A 20617-nucleotide genomic window follows, 5' to 3' on the forward strand; every position below is an offset into this window, starting at 1 on the left:
TGGTATAGTTAAACCAAGTTTAATGCTAAAATTCTGTCAGCTTTATTTTTATTATTAATTTCTAATATCATAGTAACTTATAAGGTCTAACAACTGCCTCAGCATTCAGCATATATCCTGAATTGGAAGAATGGGACTTAAAAAATTTAAAACTTATACATTGTTTTCAAAATATGCCGTCATCTTCAGAAAAGATGACGGCATATTTAAGCCCCTGTCAAATTCGAGTGCTGACTTTACCAAAACTAGATTGGAACATAAACTATTGATGAACATGTAAAAATTGTTCATAGACGAGTATTCAGTTACTGTACCCCCTCAACAGGGAAAGCAGTTTGAGTAAACCATTGCATGGTTGTTTTTTCCTCTTACTGTTGCTCTTTGAGGCAATTTTGAGAGAGGTACTATTATTTTCTGATGTTGTATAGAGATAGGTGACCTGCTGTTGAGCGAGCATTTTAAAAAACTCATTTTATGAGGTCTCCATGCATAATTGAAATAACCCAATGTTGCTGTCATTTCCACCAAAATTTATGAGATTGTCACTCAGGAAACTTAAGAATACTAAATTTGCTTTTGAAAAAGCAAATATATTTACATGGATGTGCATTGCACAACCAAAAACTTACCTTTTTATTATCTGAAAATTCTAAATAAATCCTTTGGCATACTTTTAGTTATATTCTTATCTAAGGCTGCTTCAAAACCTATTTTTATCATAATTCTATCATATAAAATGTGAAAGATAACTGTCCAGCATGAGGGTTATTGCTTTTGATTGGAAGTGAATCTCAGTTGTCCTATGTATGTTGGAGAAATATTTCATTAATAATTTATTGAAAACATTTTCTTTGTCATCTTTCTGAATGAATGAGTATGAATGGCGCTTCCCTGTCTTTAAAGGAGTATATTACTGACATACAAAACTCAAATGTTAAATTTGTCTGAAAAATATATTTCTACATGATCTGATAAAGTTCAGATAAGGGGCATTCTGTTCCTAAGAATGTCCTAAAAATGGAAAGCTGATAAAAGATTATGCTTAGAATTATACAGGTAAAAGACCTACAACAGTTGTTCTCTTGTTTTGATCCCATAGGTTATTTGTTATTACTCTTCTTTAACAGAGTGATTTTCTATTCTTAACCTTCTTAAGAGCCAATACAGAGTAGAAAGAAATATTTTCAGAAAGCCTTTTTAATAGTAACTTAATGTAAAAATTGTTTATCCTTTGGTTGAGGTTTCCCATTTCCATTTTTAAGCTTATCTGAACTGTGAACATGAAAAACGTAATGATTCATTGGTCAAGAAGCTACCATTTGAGGGCTCTAAAGTTTCTTTTAGATTTCCTTTTTTATATCAGTACAATTAAAATTTGATTTATCAAGTAGCAGCAGCTTCTTGATATTGTTACATACATTAGCTTGTTCATAAAATGTTAGAGTTAAAACTCATTAAAAATGCTATCGTTAAACATAAACTAATTAAAATTCAGTATACGAGATTCTCCCTTCAAAAACATCTTATTTTTATTTTATTTAGTACTTGCTTCAGTGTTTTCTAGGAATATCTAGTAAAGGCCTTTACTGTTTTCCACATGGCCTAATTTTATATTGGACTACAATTTTTGAGAAGGAATGCCAAATACAAAATTTTGAATCAATAAATTACAATTATAATTTTTATACTTATTTTCAAAGTTAATTTACTTTAGATGGCAGTAAAATCACTGAACTTCTGATTGAAAGAAAATTTTTTAGTTTGAAATTTCCTTCTGGAAAGGGGTTTGCAGTCCCTTTGGAAAGGAGTAAGCAATCCTGGAAGTAATTGAGTATTTAATCCTCCTATATTTTTTCTGAAGATTTTTGTGTCAGTATACTTTCTTTATGCTGGCTAGAAAGATCAGTTCTCAAGAGTTGCAGGATAAAATCAAATTAACTTTCATGTTTCAGAACTAAAACATATCCTTGCATTTATGGGAAGGATAGGTAAAAATGGAGATGGTGGCTGATAAAATAAAAATCTTTGAAACTATGTTTTTACAAGCCCAAAGCCTTTTGGAGTTGAAAGTATTAAAAAAAAGTATGATATGCTATCTTCAGGTTATGTATATGATCACAGATAATAGCTCTGATGGTCACAGAGCTTGCTGATGGCTTCCAAAGGATGGCTCCTGCCTTTTACCTTGTTACCACAGCTCCTCATAGGGCACTTTGAGTGGCAGTTCTGGAATCTGAAAAAGAAAGGATAGTGTAAGAATGGTGGTAAAATAAAAAGAACTGTCTTTATAGTTCCTGCTTTATAGGCTCAATAAGGATTTTTAATACATCCTTGCAAAATTGTTTTTGTAGTTTTTGTTACAAATCTGTTACTTTGCAATTCCTAAGGAGTAGATTTGGTGCTGTTAGTATGGGTATTTGCAAGACATCCCTCAAGGATTCTTATGTTTTGTGCATTAACTACTGTCTTCATTACTTACACATCTAAAAACTCCCCCTTCCTTAGGCATATGTCATTTTTATTCAACATAATTTTGCATATATTGCTTTCTTTGGCTGGAACAATTATATACATGATGAAAATCAGATTTTCTTCTATAAATCTATTTGTAATTTTTACAGTAACTTTATTTCTAGTACTGTATTTGTCATAATGATTTTGCTCTCGGGGGTCTATATAGAAGAAAACTTGATTCTTTTTGGAATAGTACTGCTCAAGAAATGTGGAAGAAGTGATATATGGCACTATACCCATGAATCACTAAAGAAACAGTGGTTTTATTTTGAACATTTTTGAAGAAATTCAAAGATTTGGGACTAAAGTTACCAAGTTAATTTGGTATTTATTTTGTCCTTTGTATTCTTATTTTTTAGGTTAAAGAATAGGAAGAAACCACAATAAAAGCTGGAATTATAAAGTCATAGAGTGGAAAGGGATTTAGAGATTATCTAGTCCAACCTTTTCATTCTGTAGATTATGCTAAATTCTTGAAAAGTCATGTAAAGTCCAGGTTATAGAAATTTTATTTACAATCTGGAAGAAACTGATAGCTAGAAAAAGAATGCTGCATACTTATTCATATTATTAATGCCTTTACTATAAATTTAAGCTTATTTAAGCTCAAAATTTTATTAACCACTCTGCTCTGAATTTATTTTAGTTAAGGATTAGAAGCATCAAACATTTTGCTGGAAAACAAAATGACATTTGGGGAAACATTCTTTCCCCTTTTGCTGTTACTGATAGCTTATTAATTCTGGCTGTAATTTTTTTGTCTTTATATACATTAATCAAAAAGACAAAGATGTTGTATAAAATAGTCATGAAAAAGATTGAGTAAATAGTTTATAGCTTTGTAGTAACTTCTGGGATAGGACACTAATATAGCTGTCAGGAAACCTTGATTTTAGTTTCCTATGTACCTTCAGTTCGTTTTTCTTAAACATTGGTATAAAAATATGGATGTAAAAGGAAGAAGGTATTTTGTAGGGTAGTTGTAAGTTCCTGAATGTGTGGAATGATTTATGTGCAAACATTGTCTTGCCTAATGGAAATAGTCATAATTGCCTAGTTTTCATTAGTCTGAAAAATGTCTTAAAGAAGTATTGGGCTCATCTTAAATCAAGAGCAACAGAAGTCTCTTCATCAGCTGCTGTTAGAACATGAGTCTGCGCAGCCATAGAGTAGGGATCTGCAGACCCTGCAAGAACAGTTCCTGTCACTGGCCACTGTCAGTGGTCATTAATAATTATAACAATGTAAGAAAACAAGATAATATAGAAGAGTCAAACTTTGAACTTTAAACAAAACATGTTTGCTACATTTTAACAGTCATAAATAGGGCAATGGGGGGGCGGGGCATAAGTTTTAGAATATGTTTTATGTCATTTAAGAATCTGACTTGCAAGTACCTGAATGGGAGAGAAGTGCTGATTATTACAAAGTAGTGGAGCAAGGAGAGTTGAGGAGTAGTTGGTTTTAAGGGGTTTGTAAAGCTGTGTTGATGTTTTGGGTAATAAAACTAGATTCGGGGTAGAAATGCTTTTTCTACCCACGTATTCATAAATTTATGTAAGAAGAAATGCTAGTAAGTGTTAATAACCTGAGAAGCTCTAGCTTTTTCCTTCCTTTTTTTGGGGTAATACCTTCATATGTTAATTTCAGATTTTTTCATGAGCAAAGATGTTCGTGAAACTTAGCCATAAACCATATTCTCTGAATATCAAGTGTCATCCCTAACATTCAGGCTTAATAACTTAATGTTTATGTGACTTACGTGCTAGCAATGTGGAAGAAATTTTTTATCTAGTAATGTTTGGTGTGTATTATCTTAACATTAGTGCTGAATTTTAGAAAGCACTTCTATTTTGGTGACTTTTGGAACACATGGGTAGAGCATTGTCAAGTGGCTTGGTTAGTTTCCATTACCCTTATACAAGTGTTGTCATTCTGTACAATTTGGTGCCTCTTCCCTGACAGTGTGATAGTTTCAGGAGTTGAAGGGAAAGCATTGCATGTTAAAAGCTAAAGTGGACAGAAGTTATCTTTATTTCCCTCTTCTGTACTACTTTACACCTACAGTCACTTATTTTTTTTTTTTGCAACATTCATTGAAAACTCCACATTATTTCAAACATTATGTTCTTTTTTGACTTATTCATGTTGTCAATGCCTTTATGATAATTTTAAGCTTATTTTTAAATATTTCAAGATTTATTACATTCAAAACTCTTATAAAGCATTTTGTTCATGGTATAATAGTATTTTGATCTGAGTAGTAATAGATTTATTTGTTTAAATATAGATAAAAATTGGTCAGTGTGTGTTCTCCAAAAAAAAATCTTGATAATGGGGAAAATCAGAGATTAGACAGGAAAAGAAGATATTGTGGCTAAGATTTGACTGCACTTACGCTTTCATCTCTCTTGCCTTTTTATTCTCTGAGAAGGTCCCTAAAATTGTAGTTAATGCTGCTTTATTATTATGTTCAGTGACTTAACTTCAATGTGTATCTAATATCACTGAACAGTAACTAGGGTCCGAACATTTGCTCATTAACTCCTGAAAGTAGTCTGTTGTGATACGTCACCAAACAAAGGTTTCAAATGTAGAAGCATGAAAGGTTCTTTAATTATTTGATGTGAATTAGTTAAAAGTTCCTTGAAATTTTATTTTGGATGATCTTAACTCACTTTTTTCTAATGAAATTTTTGCTTTCAACTGGTAGTAACTGGTCCTGGGCATTCAGATTTTTATATTTATGTATGTATGCAAGATACACTATTCTCTTTTGAGAAAATGTTGTCTTAGCTAATTTCTGGGATTTGTGAAAGGAAATGTAATATGTTAATAGCTATTATTGGCACTCTATGTTACAATATTAAGGATCTAAATAGATTCCCACTTAGCCACGATGCTTTTCTTAAGCATAATTCATCTCTACGTAAATATCCCATATGAAAGAAAATTTAGAGCCCTCCATTTAAAAAAGCTTTCTTGCTCTGCATAAAACTTGAAAATAATTAATTTCAAAGTTATATTGATATTAAAACATAGATTCAGTCTTGTCTTAAAAGTGTATTACAATTTATTTCTTGCCATTTTTGTGTAAAATTTACAGAAAGAGTGTTACACCGTGCGCTCCAAAGGTAATGTCTCATTACTCTAAGGCTCTCTCTCTCTTTGCCTTTATCTCTTTAATTCTGTTGTTATGTGCATTGAAACATTTTAAGAAAAAAAAAAACTTTCTGCTTTATCTGTATAGCAGCAGTACATGTAAAACAAGTGCATTTTATTTTTCATGGTTAATCCTGGGAACTATATTTTAACTTCAGTGGCTTGTTTCCACCAAGTTCCTGTACATCTTCTGGTGGGGGAGTGGGGTTATTAGTTTATAGTATGGTTTTAGTTCTCATTTCAGTGTGGAATTAGTCATTTCTGTATAAGGGCAAAAGGTTCTCTGATAATGGTATAAAACTATAGATTGTTTTTGGAGTAGCAGTGACACTTGTCAATTTCTAAGATTTATAAGGCTTAAATACCTTGCACACATGTTTTTTAAAGTAGATTCAGGGGTCGGGAAAACTGAAAAATCACTGTCTTTAAGTACAAGAGAAAAATGGAAATGCATAAATATTGAAAGGTTTTACAATTTGAAATGTTCTTTGTGGTTTTTTCTTTTTTAGGTATGTTTTCATAAGCATATATAAATTTAAACATTTTTGATAGCCTCTGGCCTTAACTTACTGAGCATGTGTCACCATTGCACAGCTCTTTAAACAGCCGCTTTTAAGATCAATGCAATTTTTCTTTTAATTGAAGATTTTGAAAGATTAAGAGTTAGTGAGATGAGCTCTCTGCCTCTTTTAGTAGAATTGAATAGTCTGGATTGTGGATATTATTTCTCTCCGCCCTTTTGTAACCCTCTTTGGCTAATGTCCTCTGTTCATCCACGTATTAGCCAAGTGCCAGTAACCCTGCTTTACATTGGGATTTCTACTCCTGGAATGTAGGTTGAGAACCCCAGAGGGCTTCTTTTTGTTAAATACTTTTAGTATTCTTAATATGTAATCTAATCCAATTAAAGTGCAGACTTATATTTCTGTATCTTGAGTTGCAGATGCAAGTAATGGACTTTAATCATTCATATCAGGTTTAGGCACTATGGGCAGGCTGAGTTGTCCTTGAAATAGTCATTCGTGTCTTCATTTGTTTTCTGCACTACTGCTATAAAGGACCAAGTTTGCCTATTCTTGGCAGTTTTCATTTGAATTAAAAACTAAACTTGAATGTCATAAAGATAGCTATTCCATCCTCAAATTGAGTCTCAAGTAGTATGTTGCTGCATCGCTACACTACTCTGGAATGTTTTATTCCACCATTTTCTCCAAAGGTTTGCCATAAAGTGGTTTTTACAGCCTTTCTATCAGCCAAGATGGCAAATTGAATTGGGCTCTTTATGTTTTAAGAAAAATTTGCAGGCTTTCCCCAATACTGCAGGATCTGTGAGTCATGGGAGGAACGGATCAAAGAAGGAGAAGGAATGTATCTAATCAGGAAACCATACATCGTTTTTACTTCTAAATATTTGGGGCTGATCCCTTACACTGTAGAAAAATTTACTTTTTTAAAAGCCCTTTTGGCTGGGTGTGGTGGCTCATGCCTATAATCCCAGCACTTTGAGAGGCTGAGGCAGGTGGATCACCTGAGGTCAGGAGTTTGAGACCAGCTTGGCCAACATGGTGAAACCCCGTCTCTACTAAAATTACAGAAATTAGATGGGCCTGGTGGCGCATGCCTATAATCCCAGCTACTCAGGAGGCTGAGGCAGGAGAATCACTTGAATCCGGGAGGCAGAGGTTGCATTGAGCCGAGATCATGCCATCGCACTCTAGCCTGGGCAACAGAGTGAGACTCCATCTCAAAATAAACAAACAAATAAAAATAAAAGCACTCTTTACATCTTTCATATAATAGAGTCACTAGCTTCTGTACCAATTTCTTGTCTTTAGTGTACTTTGGTAAAGTTTTATAATTAAAGCACATTTCTATCTTGAAGTTACCATCCAAGGTGGTTTCTGGATGCTAGTTTAATGATTTAAACACTAGTGGCTCACTAATTCACTAGATAGTTTTTGTTCTGTTTTCTTTTTGCTGCCTGTTTTTATTTTTATAATTACATTGGCATGAATTTCCACTTTTCAATCTTCTAAGGAATATTTGAGATTTTTGCTTTTAAAACTTAATATTTCCTTTAAAATTCTGGAACTTCTTAAGTTGACATTTTAATTTTTTTAAATTAAATTCTGTAGTGCTCTTACAGAACCGAATATTCTTAATGTAAGTATAAGCATTACAAATCCTTGTAGAATAAATATTTTTAGCATTGTTACGAAGGTTAAAAACTGGGTTTTGTTCACTTACATGTCTTAAAATTGCCTTAAAATGAATACAGAAATTTATATGGCAGCTTCTAGTACAGTTGACTGCTTTAACATGGCCTGACATCTAGTGATATTTTTCTCTCTTTCAAATTTCTGTTTTCTAGCTCTTAAATATCTGTTTCTCATTCTTATAAATCAAGATGCTTGTAGTATATAATTCTGAGACTAATTATCTGCTTTTGAATTTTTTCCACTGCAATTCATATAATGTGAAGATCTGTGAAAATGCTATGGGAAAACTAGCTTGGGTTCAAAATATCTTAACCAAATATACCCTGTAGGCTTCCCAAGAGTGACTGTCTGACAGTTGGTGACTGTAGAAGAAGCTGGTTGGGTGTTTTCTGGGCCAAGGAAATTTAAAATGTCTGCAATGTTATCCATCATTACTTTTTGCTGTCAGAAGGGATGGCAGATTGAAGCTTTTCTCCCTATCGCATTTTCAGAGTTGCCGTGTCAGAGCTTCACCTTGGGTGAAGGAAGATGGGCAGGAATTCTGGAAACAGAACTCCTGAGACCTACCTCTGCCTGCCTAAAAATGTGGACTGACTCAGTATGAGAAATAACAAGAAAACATTTAAGTGTTTGGGGCAAATGTTAATCACTTTCTTTCCATAGGGCAAATAGGAGGTGCTTTTCTTATTTAATTACGCTGATAAATTTTGAGGGTTTTTTTTTTTAAGTGTTTTGTTTTGTTGTTTTGGAGTTGAGAGTAACTTTAATTTTTATGTGTATTCATGCTGTGTATTTATGGCTACAAGTCAAACTGATTTCATATGTATGCATACATATAGTCTAATAGAGATGATTGTAATTCATTATAATCTTGAGTTTTTTAAATTAGTAAGATGGCTACTATTGCTGTTTTGGGGTTTTTAAGGTTAGATATATATCATGTTTAACTTTTTCCCCTATCTTTTTATCTTTACTTCTTTGTTCTCTACATGCTGTGTTTAAACCTTTCTGCTCTCTTCACCTGAACACATCGTGTTTGACATCATCTTTGTGTTGATGTTTATTACATAGTACCACAAAGCCTGCTCCACACCTGGATGGGTAAGAGTTACATTCTTACTACATTGGGGAAGTGTTTGGGTGGCCAGCCATAAAGAGAGATTGGACCATGGTTGAGCCCTCAAGGGAGCGCTCTTGATGTCTGGCTTAATCTCATAGCAAAAGCTATTCCTTAGGATCACAGAATATACTTGTTTTGAGACCCCATGGCTCTCATGTGACTGAAGGAGTCAATCTGTGCTCATGGATGGGCTTCTCAGCAATATAATTCTTTTTATTTTTTATTTTTCTCTTCAGTTTTCCAAAATGGGTCGGATAGTAAGCAGTACAATATCATGTGTCCCTGTAAGGAAGGTTCCCAAGTACCAAGCGAAATCTGAATGTTACCAGACTCTTTACCCTAAAATGGTTAAGAACCATTGTTTTAAAGGCAGAAAACTGAGGCCCAGTTTGCATAATCGTTTCCTTTTATGAAGCAGATTTCAAGTTCTCATTCCATTCTAGTTGCTTCATACAACAAACAGTTTGGTTTTATTTTCAGGTCTGTGGACATGTCATTGATTACAGTTAATTGTCTTGATTACTGTTTATAGCTTAATTATCAAACCAGTTGTTTCTTGAATTTGTATTATGACAGGGTGCATGTAGTCTTTGGACTGGTTATTTCTGGTTTTGAAGTAATCGAACAAATTGAAAATCTGAAGACCGATGCTGCAAGCAGACCATATGCAGATGTGCGAGTTATTGACTGTGGAGTACTTGCCACAAAATCAATAAAAGATGGTAAGAACTTTTTTGACAGTAGATGAAGCTAAGATGCAGGTAAAGCATTGCTGAAGACTGTAACTAGATTTGATTAGTGGAACTAGTGGTATAGCAATAGCCCTTGGTGCCCCTGAATCATACCCTACATGTTTAATCTTTTAGCATATCTTGTCAGATCTTACTTTTTCTTATTTCCTTGCCACCAGCCTTATCCACACCACCAGTATTTTGTGTCTGGATTATTGCCGTAGCGTCGTAACTGTTTACCTTGCCTCCGTTCTATAATCTTTTGTCAGCAGCAATAGCCTCCTAACTGGTCTCATTGCTTATATCCTAGGCCCGCTGTGGTCTGTCCTTAACAGCAACCAGAGTGATCCCTTTGAACCATAGTTTGCATTCATGTCACGCCTGCACAGAACCCTCCAAGGACTCCCATCTTCAATCATCCAAAGCAGAAGTCTTTATGGTGGTCTCTAAGGCCCTGGCTGGTCTGGCTCTCTGCTGTCTCTCTAAACTCTTTTCCCTTATTCATTGCCTTCCAGGCACATTGACCTTTTTTCAGACATGCCAACCACTCAGGGATTTTGTGCTGCCTATTCTCTTTGTCTGGAACACCCTTTGTTAAGATATCTGCATGACACTGTCCCTTGCTCTTAAGTCTCTGTTCAAATGTTATGTTAAACTACCCCTAGTCTTCCTATTCCCTTTACACTGCTTTGTTTTTCTGTCTTAGCACTTAATCATTTGTCATATTATGCAATTCTTTTTTTTTTTTTTTTTTTTTTTTTGAGACAAGAGTCTTGCTCTGTCACCCAGGCTGGAGTGCAGTGGCACTATCTCGGCTCACTGCAACCTCTGCCTCCTGGGTTCAGGTGATTCTCCTGCCTCAGCCTCTGGAGTAGCTGGGATTATAGGGATGCACCACCATGCCTGGCTAATTTTTGTTATTTTTAGTAGAGACATGGTTTCACCATGTTGGCCAGGCTGGTCTTGTACTCCTGACCTCAAGTGATTTGCTCACCTTGGCCTCCCACAGTGTTAGGATTACAGATATGAGTCACTGCACCGGGCCTATTTCTTGTTACTTGACCCAACAAGAATATAGGCTTCATAAAGACAAGGGACTTACTACCTTACAATCTTGCCAGTAATTTTATTATAAACTTGAAAAAAACTGTCTACATTTCATTTTTTGTTTGCTGTATGTAAAGCATATTTTATGATATTCAGTAATCACATTTTTTACTCTGAAAGGTAGGCACTGAATTTAGTACTAATGTTTTTATTAATGTTTCTTAAAAGTTTTTGAGAAAAAAAGGAAGAAACCAACTCATTCAGAAGGCTCGGATTCCTCTTCCAATTCCTCCTCTTCTTCAGAATCATCTTCAGAAAGTGAACTTGAACATGAGAGAAGCAGAAGGAGGAAACATAAGAGGAGGCCAAAAGTTAAACGTTCTAAAAAGAGGCGAAAGGAAGCAAGCAGTTCAGAAGAGCCAAGGAATAAACATGCAATGAACCCAAAAGGGTACGTGTAAAACACCAATGTACTCTTACCTAAAAACAAACACTCTGGAATGGGAAAAGTATGTATAATTCTATAAACTCAATTTTATTACCTGTTATTGAAAAAGGATAGCACTTTTTAAACTTTAAATTGAAATCTGGCAAATCTAGGAGTAGGTAGCATAGGCATTTCATTTCAAAGATTTGTGTGTTTTCAGTTTTCGGGTGAAAATAGTCCTAAGAACTCTTTTTTTAAGAGATAGGGTCTTGCTCTGTTATCCAGGCTGGAATACAGTGGCACAATTATAGCTCACTGCATCCTCCACCTCCTGGGCTCAAGAGATCTTTCTGCATCAGCCTCCTGAGTAGCTAGGACTACGGGCGTATACCACTATGCTTGGCTAATTTTTAAATTTTTTGTAGAGACAGGGTCTTCCGCTATGTTGACCAGGCTGGTCTCTGACTCCTGTCCTCAAGCAATCCTCCCACCTAAGACCCCTAAAGTACTGGGATTACAGGTGTGAGCCACAATGCCTGGCCTCCTGGAACTCTTAAAATAAAAAAGTTAGGATCATTTAACAATTTTCCTATCAAAATTCTAGTCTTTGGGTTTTTCACTGGGTTGATATTGTTCTCTTTGTGAAAATCATATAACTCTTTTGAGTGAGACTTGTAAGCTATCGTTAATTATGCTGTTGTTTTAGTAACTAATTTTATGTGCTTTTATTATGAAATGCAAACATTATACATTTTAATCAGTGACTTGGTTTGTTCTAAGTCACTCTGAGAGGAGTGATACCAATGAAAAAAGGTCAGTTGATTCCAGTGCTAAAAGGGAAAAACCTGTGGTCCGCCCAGAAGAGATTCCTCCAGTGCCTGAGAACCGATTTTTACTGAGAAGAGATATGCCTGTTGTTACTGCAGAACCTGAACCGTAAGTAGGATGACTAAACTATTTATTTTTATTTCTCCGATAACACTGTTCCGTCAGCTCATTGCATTCCACACTCATGTATGGAACATGATCCATGTTTGAAGCACATTGAAAGATAGTATGGGAGTATTAGATTAATGAATGATACGTAGGAAATATGGGGGATACCAGATTATTGAGTGATATGTACCCTACCTTTCAGAATTCACATTCTAGCAGGGAGAGGAGGTTGGGCAAGTTGGTCAGGGAAGCCCTTATTGGGGATCTGGAAAGATTTTATTCCTGATCTTCTTGCCTTTGCCTTTTATTAGAGGGGTGAGGTTTTAGTTATCAGAATAGAGAGTTAGTTGAATTCTTTGGATCCATTTGAGTGATGAAGCATGGGTTCCAATTTGAATAGTGCATAATTAATTGCATGATGATTGGAGATACAATTTAGTATCATAAATAAGTTACTTTTGTTAACTTGTTCAACAATTACTTCCTGCATTGGAAAAGTGAATGTGTCGCTTTAGATTTGGTCTGAGAAAATAGTATTTAATGTATTTTGTGTGTTAGACTCAAGTTTAGAATTATTGAAAGAAAATGTTTCATGAACAGAAATATCATAATGGCTGGTGTCATTGATAAGTTCCCTATGAAGAGTTATTTTGAAAGCTGAAAAGTATAAGAGTCCTTATTTATAATTAGCTCTCTGCATAAAGTTATCATTTAGTTCATTAAATATTTTTTAAAGCCTGATATTGTCTTGTTTTAAAAAGCTATTGCAAAATGGCATGTATCTTTGAATTAATAGCTTAACATAATGTGTTTTCATTATTAAAAATTCTAGCTTCTTTGCTTATTTTTAATTTTCATCACAATCTTCTTTTCCTAGGAAGATTCCTGATGTTGCACCCATTGTAAGTGATCAGAAACCATCTGTATCAAAGTCTGGACGGAAGATTAAAGGAAGGGGCACAATTGTATGTGTGATAAGACTTTTTTTGATATTATGTATCTAATAAAAAATTTTTACCTATTTTCAAAGTCCTAGCGTTAATTTTAGATATAATACAAAATCTGTTCAAGGAACTAATTGTATTTTCCATGGTTATGGGAAGGTATTGCTGTTAGATCAAAGTATACTGCTGTGTTTGAATGGGTTTAATTGAGTATGAAAGGAGGAACATGTGAAACCATCAGTGAGTATGCTGAGAAATCATTAAGACTTTAAAAAGGAAAATTTTATGTGGATTACAGGTGAATCTCAGCCTTGCCCATCTCTTTTAATGCCTTGTTTGAAATAACTTCACCTGAACCTAAAATAAAAGTTAAAAACTAAAAAAAAAAAAAAAAAAAAAGAACTTTAGACCATCCTTTTGGTAACTTCAATCATTACCTTTGATGGGATGATCTGAGATTGGGTCTTTTACTTAACTCTGTCACATAGCAGACTGTCGTGGAGAGGCATTTTTTAAAATACTATTGTTTTTGTTTTTAAAGCGCTATCACACACCTCCAAGATCAAGATCCTGTTCTGAGTCAGATGATGATGACAGCAGTGAAACTCCTCCTCACTGGAAAGAGGAAATGCAGAGATTAAGAGCATATAGACCACCTAGTGGAGAAAAATGGAGTAAAGGAGATAAGTAAGAACTTTGAGTATAAGCACAATCCTGTGTCTGTTATATTTTAAATGTTAAAGGGATTGGATACAATTCTGGACTTTTCATTAAAGATTCAGTGAAAGATTCACAGTCAGACTGTGACCAAAGGAAATACATTTGGGACTACTTGATGAAAGTAGTACTGTTAACTAGTTGGGCTTTTAAATCAAAATCCTGTTTTCCTTAACAAAAACTATAAGCCTGTGTCTTTTAATGACCTCTTAGTCAATTTTAGAAATAATTAGGACTTAGAGGCCGGGCGTGGTGGCTCACGCTTGTCATCCCAGCACTTTGGGAGGCCGAGGCAGGCGGATCACGAGGTCAGGAGATTGGGACCACAGTGAAACCCCATCTCTACTAAAAATACAAAAAATTAGCCGGGCGTGGTGGCGGGTGCCTGTAGTCCCAGCTACTTAGAGAGGCTGAGGCAGGAGAATGGTGTGAACCCGGGAGGTGGAGCTTGCAGTGAGCTGAGATCGTGCCACTGCACTCCAGCCTGGGTGACAGAGCGAGACTCCGTCTCAAAAAAAAAAAAAAATAATTAGGACTTAGAAATTATATAGCAGATTCTTTCCTAGCCAGCCAGGTCACTGATGAGTTCATTGGTAAATAGGAAAACCTGCACTCGGTGTTCATGTTGACTGTTGATCGCAGAGACTTGCTTTTTTAGAAGTGTACACATCTCTTACCTTCAGTGATGTCCCACAGTTGAATATTTATTTTAGGAAGGGGATAGGCCCCAGAATAGCTAGTGAAAAATATACTAATGGGACCCTGTGTAATCTTCCATGGTAGTATTCTCTTTTTCTCTGGGGACATCCTGCAGAGTGGTTTGGAATTGTGAAAAGGAGGAAAAGGAATGCATCTGCTGTGTAGAAGCGGCTCAGACACAGTGGTGCTGAGGACTTTCAGTTCTGAGCCTTGACATTAACACTCAGATTGTAACCTGTATCTGTTTTTGTGTACTTTTTCCTCAATTTCTGTTTTAAGTAGTTTACAGTCTTAGGGGAAATCTGGATTACCTGTCTGAGGTGGAGAAAAAACAAGCTTCATGCTAGTTTCAAGCAGCTATCCTGCATCTTCAGAAAATCAACAAATTGTTTGAGACCTTGGTTTGACTCACCCTCAAAAACTGTCCTAGAGGCAGAGGGTTGTGAGCAGATAACAGCCAGGAACTCTTGTGATTTGAGTTCAGCAGTGTTCTTGTGATTAGTTGGTTTGCTTTTCAAAAACATTTTCCTAACAAATGTAAGGTTCTTTGCTTAGCTTAAAAAAAAAATCCTTTTGTAAGTGAATTTGTTAGTAGTTCTTAGTGTGTGTCTCTGAAAGTATAACAAGACCAGGCCTATAACTCTGATTCACGCTTCCTGCGTGTGCTTAAAGTGTTAATGGGGTCAAGAACTTTGTTGTTAACAAAGCTGTGTCTTAAGGTGTAGAAAACATGCTTATAAATCACCGCATGAATATTATGTCCTTTCTATAGGTTAAGTGACCCCTGTTCAAGCCGATGGGATGAAAGAAGCTTGTCTCAGAGATCCAGATCATGGTCCTATAATGGATATTATTCAGACCTTAGTACAGCAAGACACTCTGGCCACCATAAAAAACGCAGAAAAGAAAAAAAGGTTAAGCATAAAAAGAAAGGGAAAAAGCAGAAACACTGCAGAAGACACAAACAAACAAAGAAGAGAAGGATTCTTATACCGTCTGACATAGAATCCTCAAAATCTTCCACTCGAAGAATGAAATCCTCTTGTGATAGAGAAAGGAGTTCTCGTTCTTCCTCATTGTCATCTCATCACTCATCAAAGAGAGACTGGTCTAAATCTGATAAGGATGTCCAGAGCTCTTTAACCCATTCCAGCAGAGACTCATACAGATCAAAATCTCACTCACAGTCTTATTCTAGAGGAAGCTCAAGATCAAGGACTGCGTCAAAGTCCTCATCACATTCTCGAAGTAGATCAAAGTCCAGATCTAGTTCCAAGTCTGGGCACCGAAAGAGAGCATCAAAATCACCAAGAAAAACAGCTTCTCAGTTAAGTGAAAATAAACCAGTTAAAACAGAACCTTTAAGAGCAACCATGGCACAAAATGAAAATGTAGTAGTACAACCAGTTGTAGCAGAAAATATTCCTGTAATACCACTGAGTGACAGTCCCCCCCCTTCAAGATGGAAGCCTGGACAGAAACCTTGGAAGCCCTCTTATGAGCGAATTCAGGAAATGAAAGCTAAAACAACCCATTTGCTACCCATCCAAAGCACTTACAGTTTAGCAAATATTAAAGAGACTGGTAGCTCATCATCCTACCATAAAAGAGAAAAAAATTCGGAAAGTGATCAGAGCACTTATTCAAAATACAGTGATAGAAGTTCAGAAAGCTCACCAAGGTCAAGGAGCAGATCTTCTAGGAGTAGATCTTATTCCAGATCATATACAAGATCACGTAGTCTAGCTAGTTCACATTCAAGGTCTAGGTCTCCATCATCTAGATCTCATTCACGAAATAAATACAGTGATCATTCACAGTGTAGTAGATCATCTTCATATACTTCTATTAGCAGTGATGATGGAAGGCGAGCTAAGAGGAGACTTAGATCCAGTGGGAAAAAAAATAGCGTTTCACATAAAAAGCATAGCAGCAGCTCTGAAAAGACACTTCACAGTAAATATGTCAAAGGTAGAGACAGGTCTTCATGTGTGAGAAAGTATAGCGAGAGCAGATCATCTTTAGATTATTCTTCAGACAGTGAGCAGTCAAGTGTTCAGGCCACACAGTCAGCCCAGGAAAAAGAGAAGCAGGGCCAAATGGAAAGAACACATAATAAACAAGAAAAAAACAGAGGTGAAGAAAAATCCAAGTCTGAACGGGAATGCCCTCATTCAAAAAAAAGAACTTTGAAAGAGAATCTTTCTGATCACCTTAGAAATGGCAGTAAGCCCAAAAGGAAGAATTATGCTGGTAGTAAATGGGACTCTGAGTCAAATTCAGAACGAGATGTCACTAAAAACAGTAAAAATGACTCCCATCCATCCTCTGACAAGGAAGAAGGTGAGGCCACATCCGATTCTGAATCAGAGGTTAGTGAAATTCACATCAAAGTCAAACCCACAACCAAGTCGTCCACAAATACTTCACTGCCTGATGATAATGGTGCTTGGAAATCAAGCAAACAGCGCACATCAACTTCTGACTCTGAGGGGTCCTGTTCCAATTCGGAAAACAATAGGGGAAAGCCACAAAAGCACAAACATGGGTCAAAGGAAAATCTTAAAAGAGAACACACCAAAAAAGTGAAAGAGAAATTGAAAGGGAAAAAAGACAAAAAGCATAAGGCTCCAAAACGAAAGCAAGCATTTCACTGGCAGCCTCCACTAGAATTTGGTGAAGAGGAGGAGGAGGAGATTGATGACAAGCAAGTTACTCAGGAATCAAAAGAGAAAAAAGTTTCTGAAAACAATGAAACCATAAAAGATAATATTCTAAAAACTGAGAAATCCAGTGAAGAGGACCTTTCAGGTAAACATGATACAGTGACTGTTTCATCAGATCTTGATCAGTTTACTAAAGATGATAGTAAACTCAGTATTTCTCCCACAGCTTTAAATACTGAGGAAAATGTGGCCTGTTTACAAAACATTCAGCACGTTGAAGAAAGTGTTCCCAATGGAGTGGAAGATGTGCTTCAAACAGATGACAACATGGAGATCTGCACTCCTGATAGGAGTTCCCCAGCAAAAGTAGAGGAGACTTCCCCTCTAGGAAATGCACGGCTTGATACCCCAGATATAAACATTGTTTTGAAGCAGGATATGGCAACGGAACATCCTCAAGCAGAGGTAGTAAAACAGGAAAGCAGCATGTCCGAAAGTAAAGTGTTGGGTGAAGTGGGGAAACAGGACAGCAGCTCTGCTAGCTTGGCTAGTGCTGGAGAAAGTACCGGGAAGAAGGAGGTGGCTGAGAAGAGCCAGATCAACCTCATTGATAAGAAATGGAAGCCCCTGCAAGGTGTGGGGAACCTGGCAGCACCTAATGCTGCCACATCCAGTGCTGTGGAAGTTAAGGTGTTGACCACTGTGCCTGAAATGAAACCACAAGGCTTGAGAATAGAAATTAAAAGCAAAAATAAAGTTCGGCCTGGGTCTCTCTTTGATGAAGTAAGAAAGACAGCACGCTTAAACCGTAGACCAAGAAATCAGGAGAGTTCAAGTGATGAGCAGACGCCTAGTCGGGATGATGATAGCCAGTCCAGGAGTCCAAGTAGATCTCGAAGTAAATCTGAAACCAAATCAAGACACAGAACAAGGTCTGTCTCCTATAGTCACTCAAGAAGTCGATCGAGAAGTTCCACATCATCTTATCGGTGAGCAATATTCTCTTTCCTTTCTTCTCCCAAGGAGAGTCTGTTATTGTTTAGCTTGGAAGAATATCAGAATTAGGGACAGAATCACTATTTCCAAATATCTGAAAGGAATAAGAAGTCTTGTTTTGTGTGATTCAGAGAGTAGATTGAAAACTTAGGGAGAGGGAATTTCAGGAGGAGAAATTTGGGCTGGGTTTACAAAACTATTACTATCAGTTTAAAGCTCTCTGTCACTAGAAATGAGTTCCCATGATAGGTGGTAAATTCTCCATCTTTAAAGGTGTGAGGCTGCTTCTTGCCAGTCAAGTGATGCCTTAGAAGGGAATCCTGAATTGACAGAATATATAGAATTTGCAGATCATTAATCTAACCTTCCATTTTACACATGTGGAAGTTGAGGGCCAGAGAGACAAAGTTACCTGCCCAAGACATGCATCTTAGTTTAGATGGGGCATAGGGATAAAAATGATCATCTTTAGATTTTTGTTGTTGTTTGAAAAGCAATAAAAGAATTTAAAACACCTTTTTCTCATCTTTGTCACTCTGCACCTTCATGAAAAGGTTTTTTGTTATTGTTATAAATTGCATCATAACTTGTCAGCATAGAATGGATAACAGAGATGAGAATTAAAAACTAAAAATATTTGTGATGGTAATAGGAAGTTAGTAAGCAGTTGTGTTGCATTCTTTTTCTTGTAAATATTTTATGGTTTTACCTGTTTCTTAATTATTCATATCCCTTATTTTATTGTGCTTGATATTCATCATTTGAACTGAAAATACCATAAGAATCTTTGACGTTTGTTTCCTTTCTAGTTATTCATCAGTCTTTCTTCCCTTGCCTACCCAGACTTCCTAAAAAAGGAACCGCCACGTGCCATCTATACTCGGTCTCCCATTTTCTCCTCGGCTGTGTGCTTGCTGCCTTCTGTGCCTTCCCCTCCCCGCATCTCTTAGTTTACTGACTAAGACTTTCAGGTACTTCTGATGGCCAGTACCATGGCGTATTTTCAGCCTCACTTCTGGAGCCCTCTGCTAGCTCTCCTTTCTCCCACTCAGGCCATTTCGTCCCTGTGTTCTAGGCTTCTCTTCTTCCTCATGGCCTTTTCTCTCTGAGTTCCTGTTGATAGATGCAGTTGCCTATTGAGCGACTCCAGCTTCCTGTCTGCTTATGATCTGCCTTAACCATTTACACAGAGACAGCTCTGAGCTATTCGTGATGCTGGCCACTCTTCTCATTTACCTTCCCACCTCTGCCTTGGAGTGGGTGGTATTTCAGTTTGTAATGAAGACAGCAAGGCGTAGAAAGGCTAAGGGACTTGTTCTAGGCTATGCAGCTAACAGGTAGTAGACTGAGATGGATAAGCCTGGGTGCTGCCCTGCCTCCCTGTTTTGGTTACCTGCCTGGGCCTGACACCCCCATTAGGCTGTGAACTCCTTGAAGTCAGGAACTGTGTGTTACTCATCGTTCAGTCACCTCACAGGGTCTGGCTTTATTATTTTTGGTTGAATAAATGACTACAATCTTATTAGAACATAACGTATTCATTTTCTTGCAGATATACTGGAAGCAGGTCATGTCTTCCAAAACATAGTGCATACTGAATAAAACCTATGGTGATATTACATAATGTCACCTGTACACAGAGGTATTGTTCTGTTCCTGAATGACAGGCCTAAAGTAGGGGAGAAGGGTGGGGAGCCAAGTGAATGCAGAGGGGCAGAATTGTACTGCTTACATTTTTGCTTGTTTTATTAAGTATTAGACATAAAAAATGATAAAAGTATAAAAAGCTATATAATACATACTCATGTACCTGCCATCTAGCTTAAAAAATAGATCTTTGGGCCGGGTGTGGTGGCTCACACCTGTAATCCCAGTACTTTGGGAGGCCGAGGTGGGCAGATCACAAGGTCAGGAGTTCAACACCAGCCTAACCAACATGGTGAAACCCTGTCTCTACTAAAAATACAAAAATTAGCCGGGCGTGGTAGTGCGTGTCTGTAATCCCAGCTACTCAGGAGGCTGAGGCAGGAGAATTGCTTGAACCTGGGAAGCAGAGGTTGCAGTGAGCCAAGATCGCGCCACTGCACTCCAGCCTGGGCGACAGAGCAAGACTCCTCAAAAAAAAAAAAAAAATAGAGCTTTGATGTACCAGTGCCACCCCTAGGTGCATGCCTATGTCCCAAAGTTAACCATTATTCTAAACTTTGGTTATAATTTTGTTGTCTTTCTTTATAGCTTTACCCCAAGTGTTTCTATCTTTATACAATGTTATGTTTGCACTTTTTATTAAGTAAAATACTTTTATATATATAGATGTTCTACATTTGCCTTCTTCATTCAACATTGTGTTCTAGAGATATATCCTTGCTGAAACATGTAGCTGTAGTTCATTTTCTTCAGAATATTTCGTTATATATCTCTACCTTAATGTTTTTTTAA

The 20617-nt window shown here is 36.5% G+C and overlaps 1 protein-coding gene and 1 long non-coding RNA gene across 14 annotated transcripts in view, besides 4 other annotated features; one reads left to right on the forward strand and one right to left on the reverse strand.

Moving 5' to 3' along the window:
• The window catches only part of NKTR (natural killer cell triggering receptor), a 48124-nt gene that overhangs the window by 20968 nt on the left and 6539 nt on the right, over positions 1–20617 (forward strand). For 6 of the 13 annotated variants that reach the window (XM_024453539.2, NM_001349124.2, NM_005385.4 and 3 more), the window contains 7 exons: positions 8967–8996; positions 9592–9737; positions 11022–11244; positions 12001–12156; positions 13034–13121; positions 13642–13787; positions 15289–18171. In XM_024453539.2, coding sequence (XP_024309307.1) covers positions 8967–8996; positions 9592–9737; positions 11022–11244; positions 12001–12156; positions 13034–13121; positions 13642–13787; positions 15289–18171 — 3672 coding nt within the window. Of the gene's footprint in view, positions 1–201; positions 5649–8966; positions 8997–9591; positions 9738–11021; positions 11245–11981; positions 12158–13033; positions 13122–13641; positions 13788–15288; positions 18172–20617 lie in introns of those variants that run through there. The other 7 variants (XM_006713171.3, XM_017006474.3, NM_001349125.2 and 4 more) reach the window with 6 other exon arrangements.
• Positions 1–20617, reverse strand: part of ZBTB47-AS1 (ZBTB47 and NKTR antisense RNA 1) — a 42079-nt gene that overhangs the window by 9270 nt on the left and 12192 nt on the right. Inside the window, exon 2 of the long non-coding RNA NR_125400.1 lies at positions 2185–2233. This is a non-coding gene — a long non-coding RNA (ZBTB47 and NKTR antisense RNA 1). The remainder of the gene's footprint in view (positions 1–2184; positions 2234–20617) is intronic.
• Positions 9473–10321: an enhancer, noted in NCBI's record as "OCT4-NANOG-H3K27ac hESC enhancer chr3:42672544-42673392 (GRCh37/hg19 assembly coordinates)". NCBI's record gives its function as "activates a minimal SCP1, AML or CMV promoter by ChIP-STARR-seq in naive and primed H9 embryonic stem cells {active_cell/tissue: H9 hESC(naive and primed)}" and the evidence as "EXISTENCE:reporter gene assay evidence [ECO:0000049][PMID:30033119]".
• Positions 10322–11170: an enhancer, noted in NCBI's record as "OCT4-NANOG-H3K27ac hESC enhancer chr3:42673393-42674241 (GRCh37/hg19 assembly coordinates)". NCBI's record gives its function as "activates a minimal SCP1, AML or CMV promoter by ChIP-STARR-seq in naive and primed H9 embryonic stem cells {active_cell/tissue: H9 hESC(naive and primed)}" and the evidence as "EXISTENCE:reporter gene assay evidence [ECO:0000049][PMID:30033119]".
• Positions 16514–16743: an enhancer, noted in NCBI's record as "active region_19747". NCBI's record gives its function as "activates an Ori minimal core promoter by ATAC-STARR-seq in GM12878 lymphoblastoid cells {active_cell/tissue: GM12878}" and the evidence as "EXISTENCE:reporter gene assay evidence [ECO:0000049][PMID:35858748]".
• Positions 16954–17033: an enhancer, noted in NCBI's record as "active region_19748". NCBI's record gives its function as "activates an Ori minimal core promoter by ATAC-STARR-seq in GM12878 lymphoblastoid cells {active_cell/tissue: GM12878}" and the evidence as "EXISTENCE:reporter gene assay evidence [ECO:0000049][PMID:35858748]".

This window comes from Homo sapiens, chromosome 3 (genome assembly GCF_000001405.40).
Source record: "Homo sapiens chromosome 3, GRCh38.p14 Primary Assembly".
In the NCBI taxonomy this organism is placed as follows: Eukaryota; Metazoa; Chordata; class Mammalia; order Primates; family Hominidae; genus Homo; species Homo sapiens.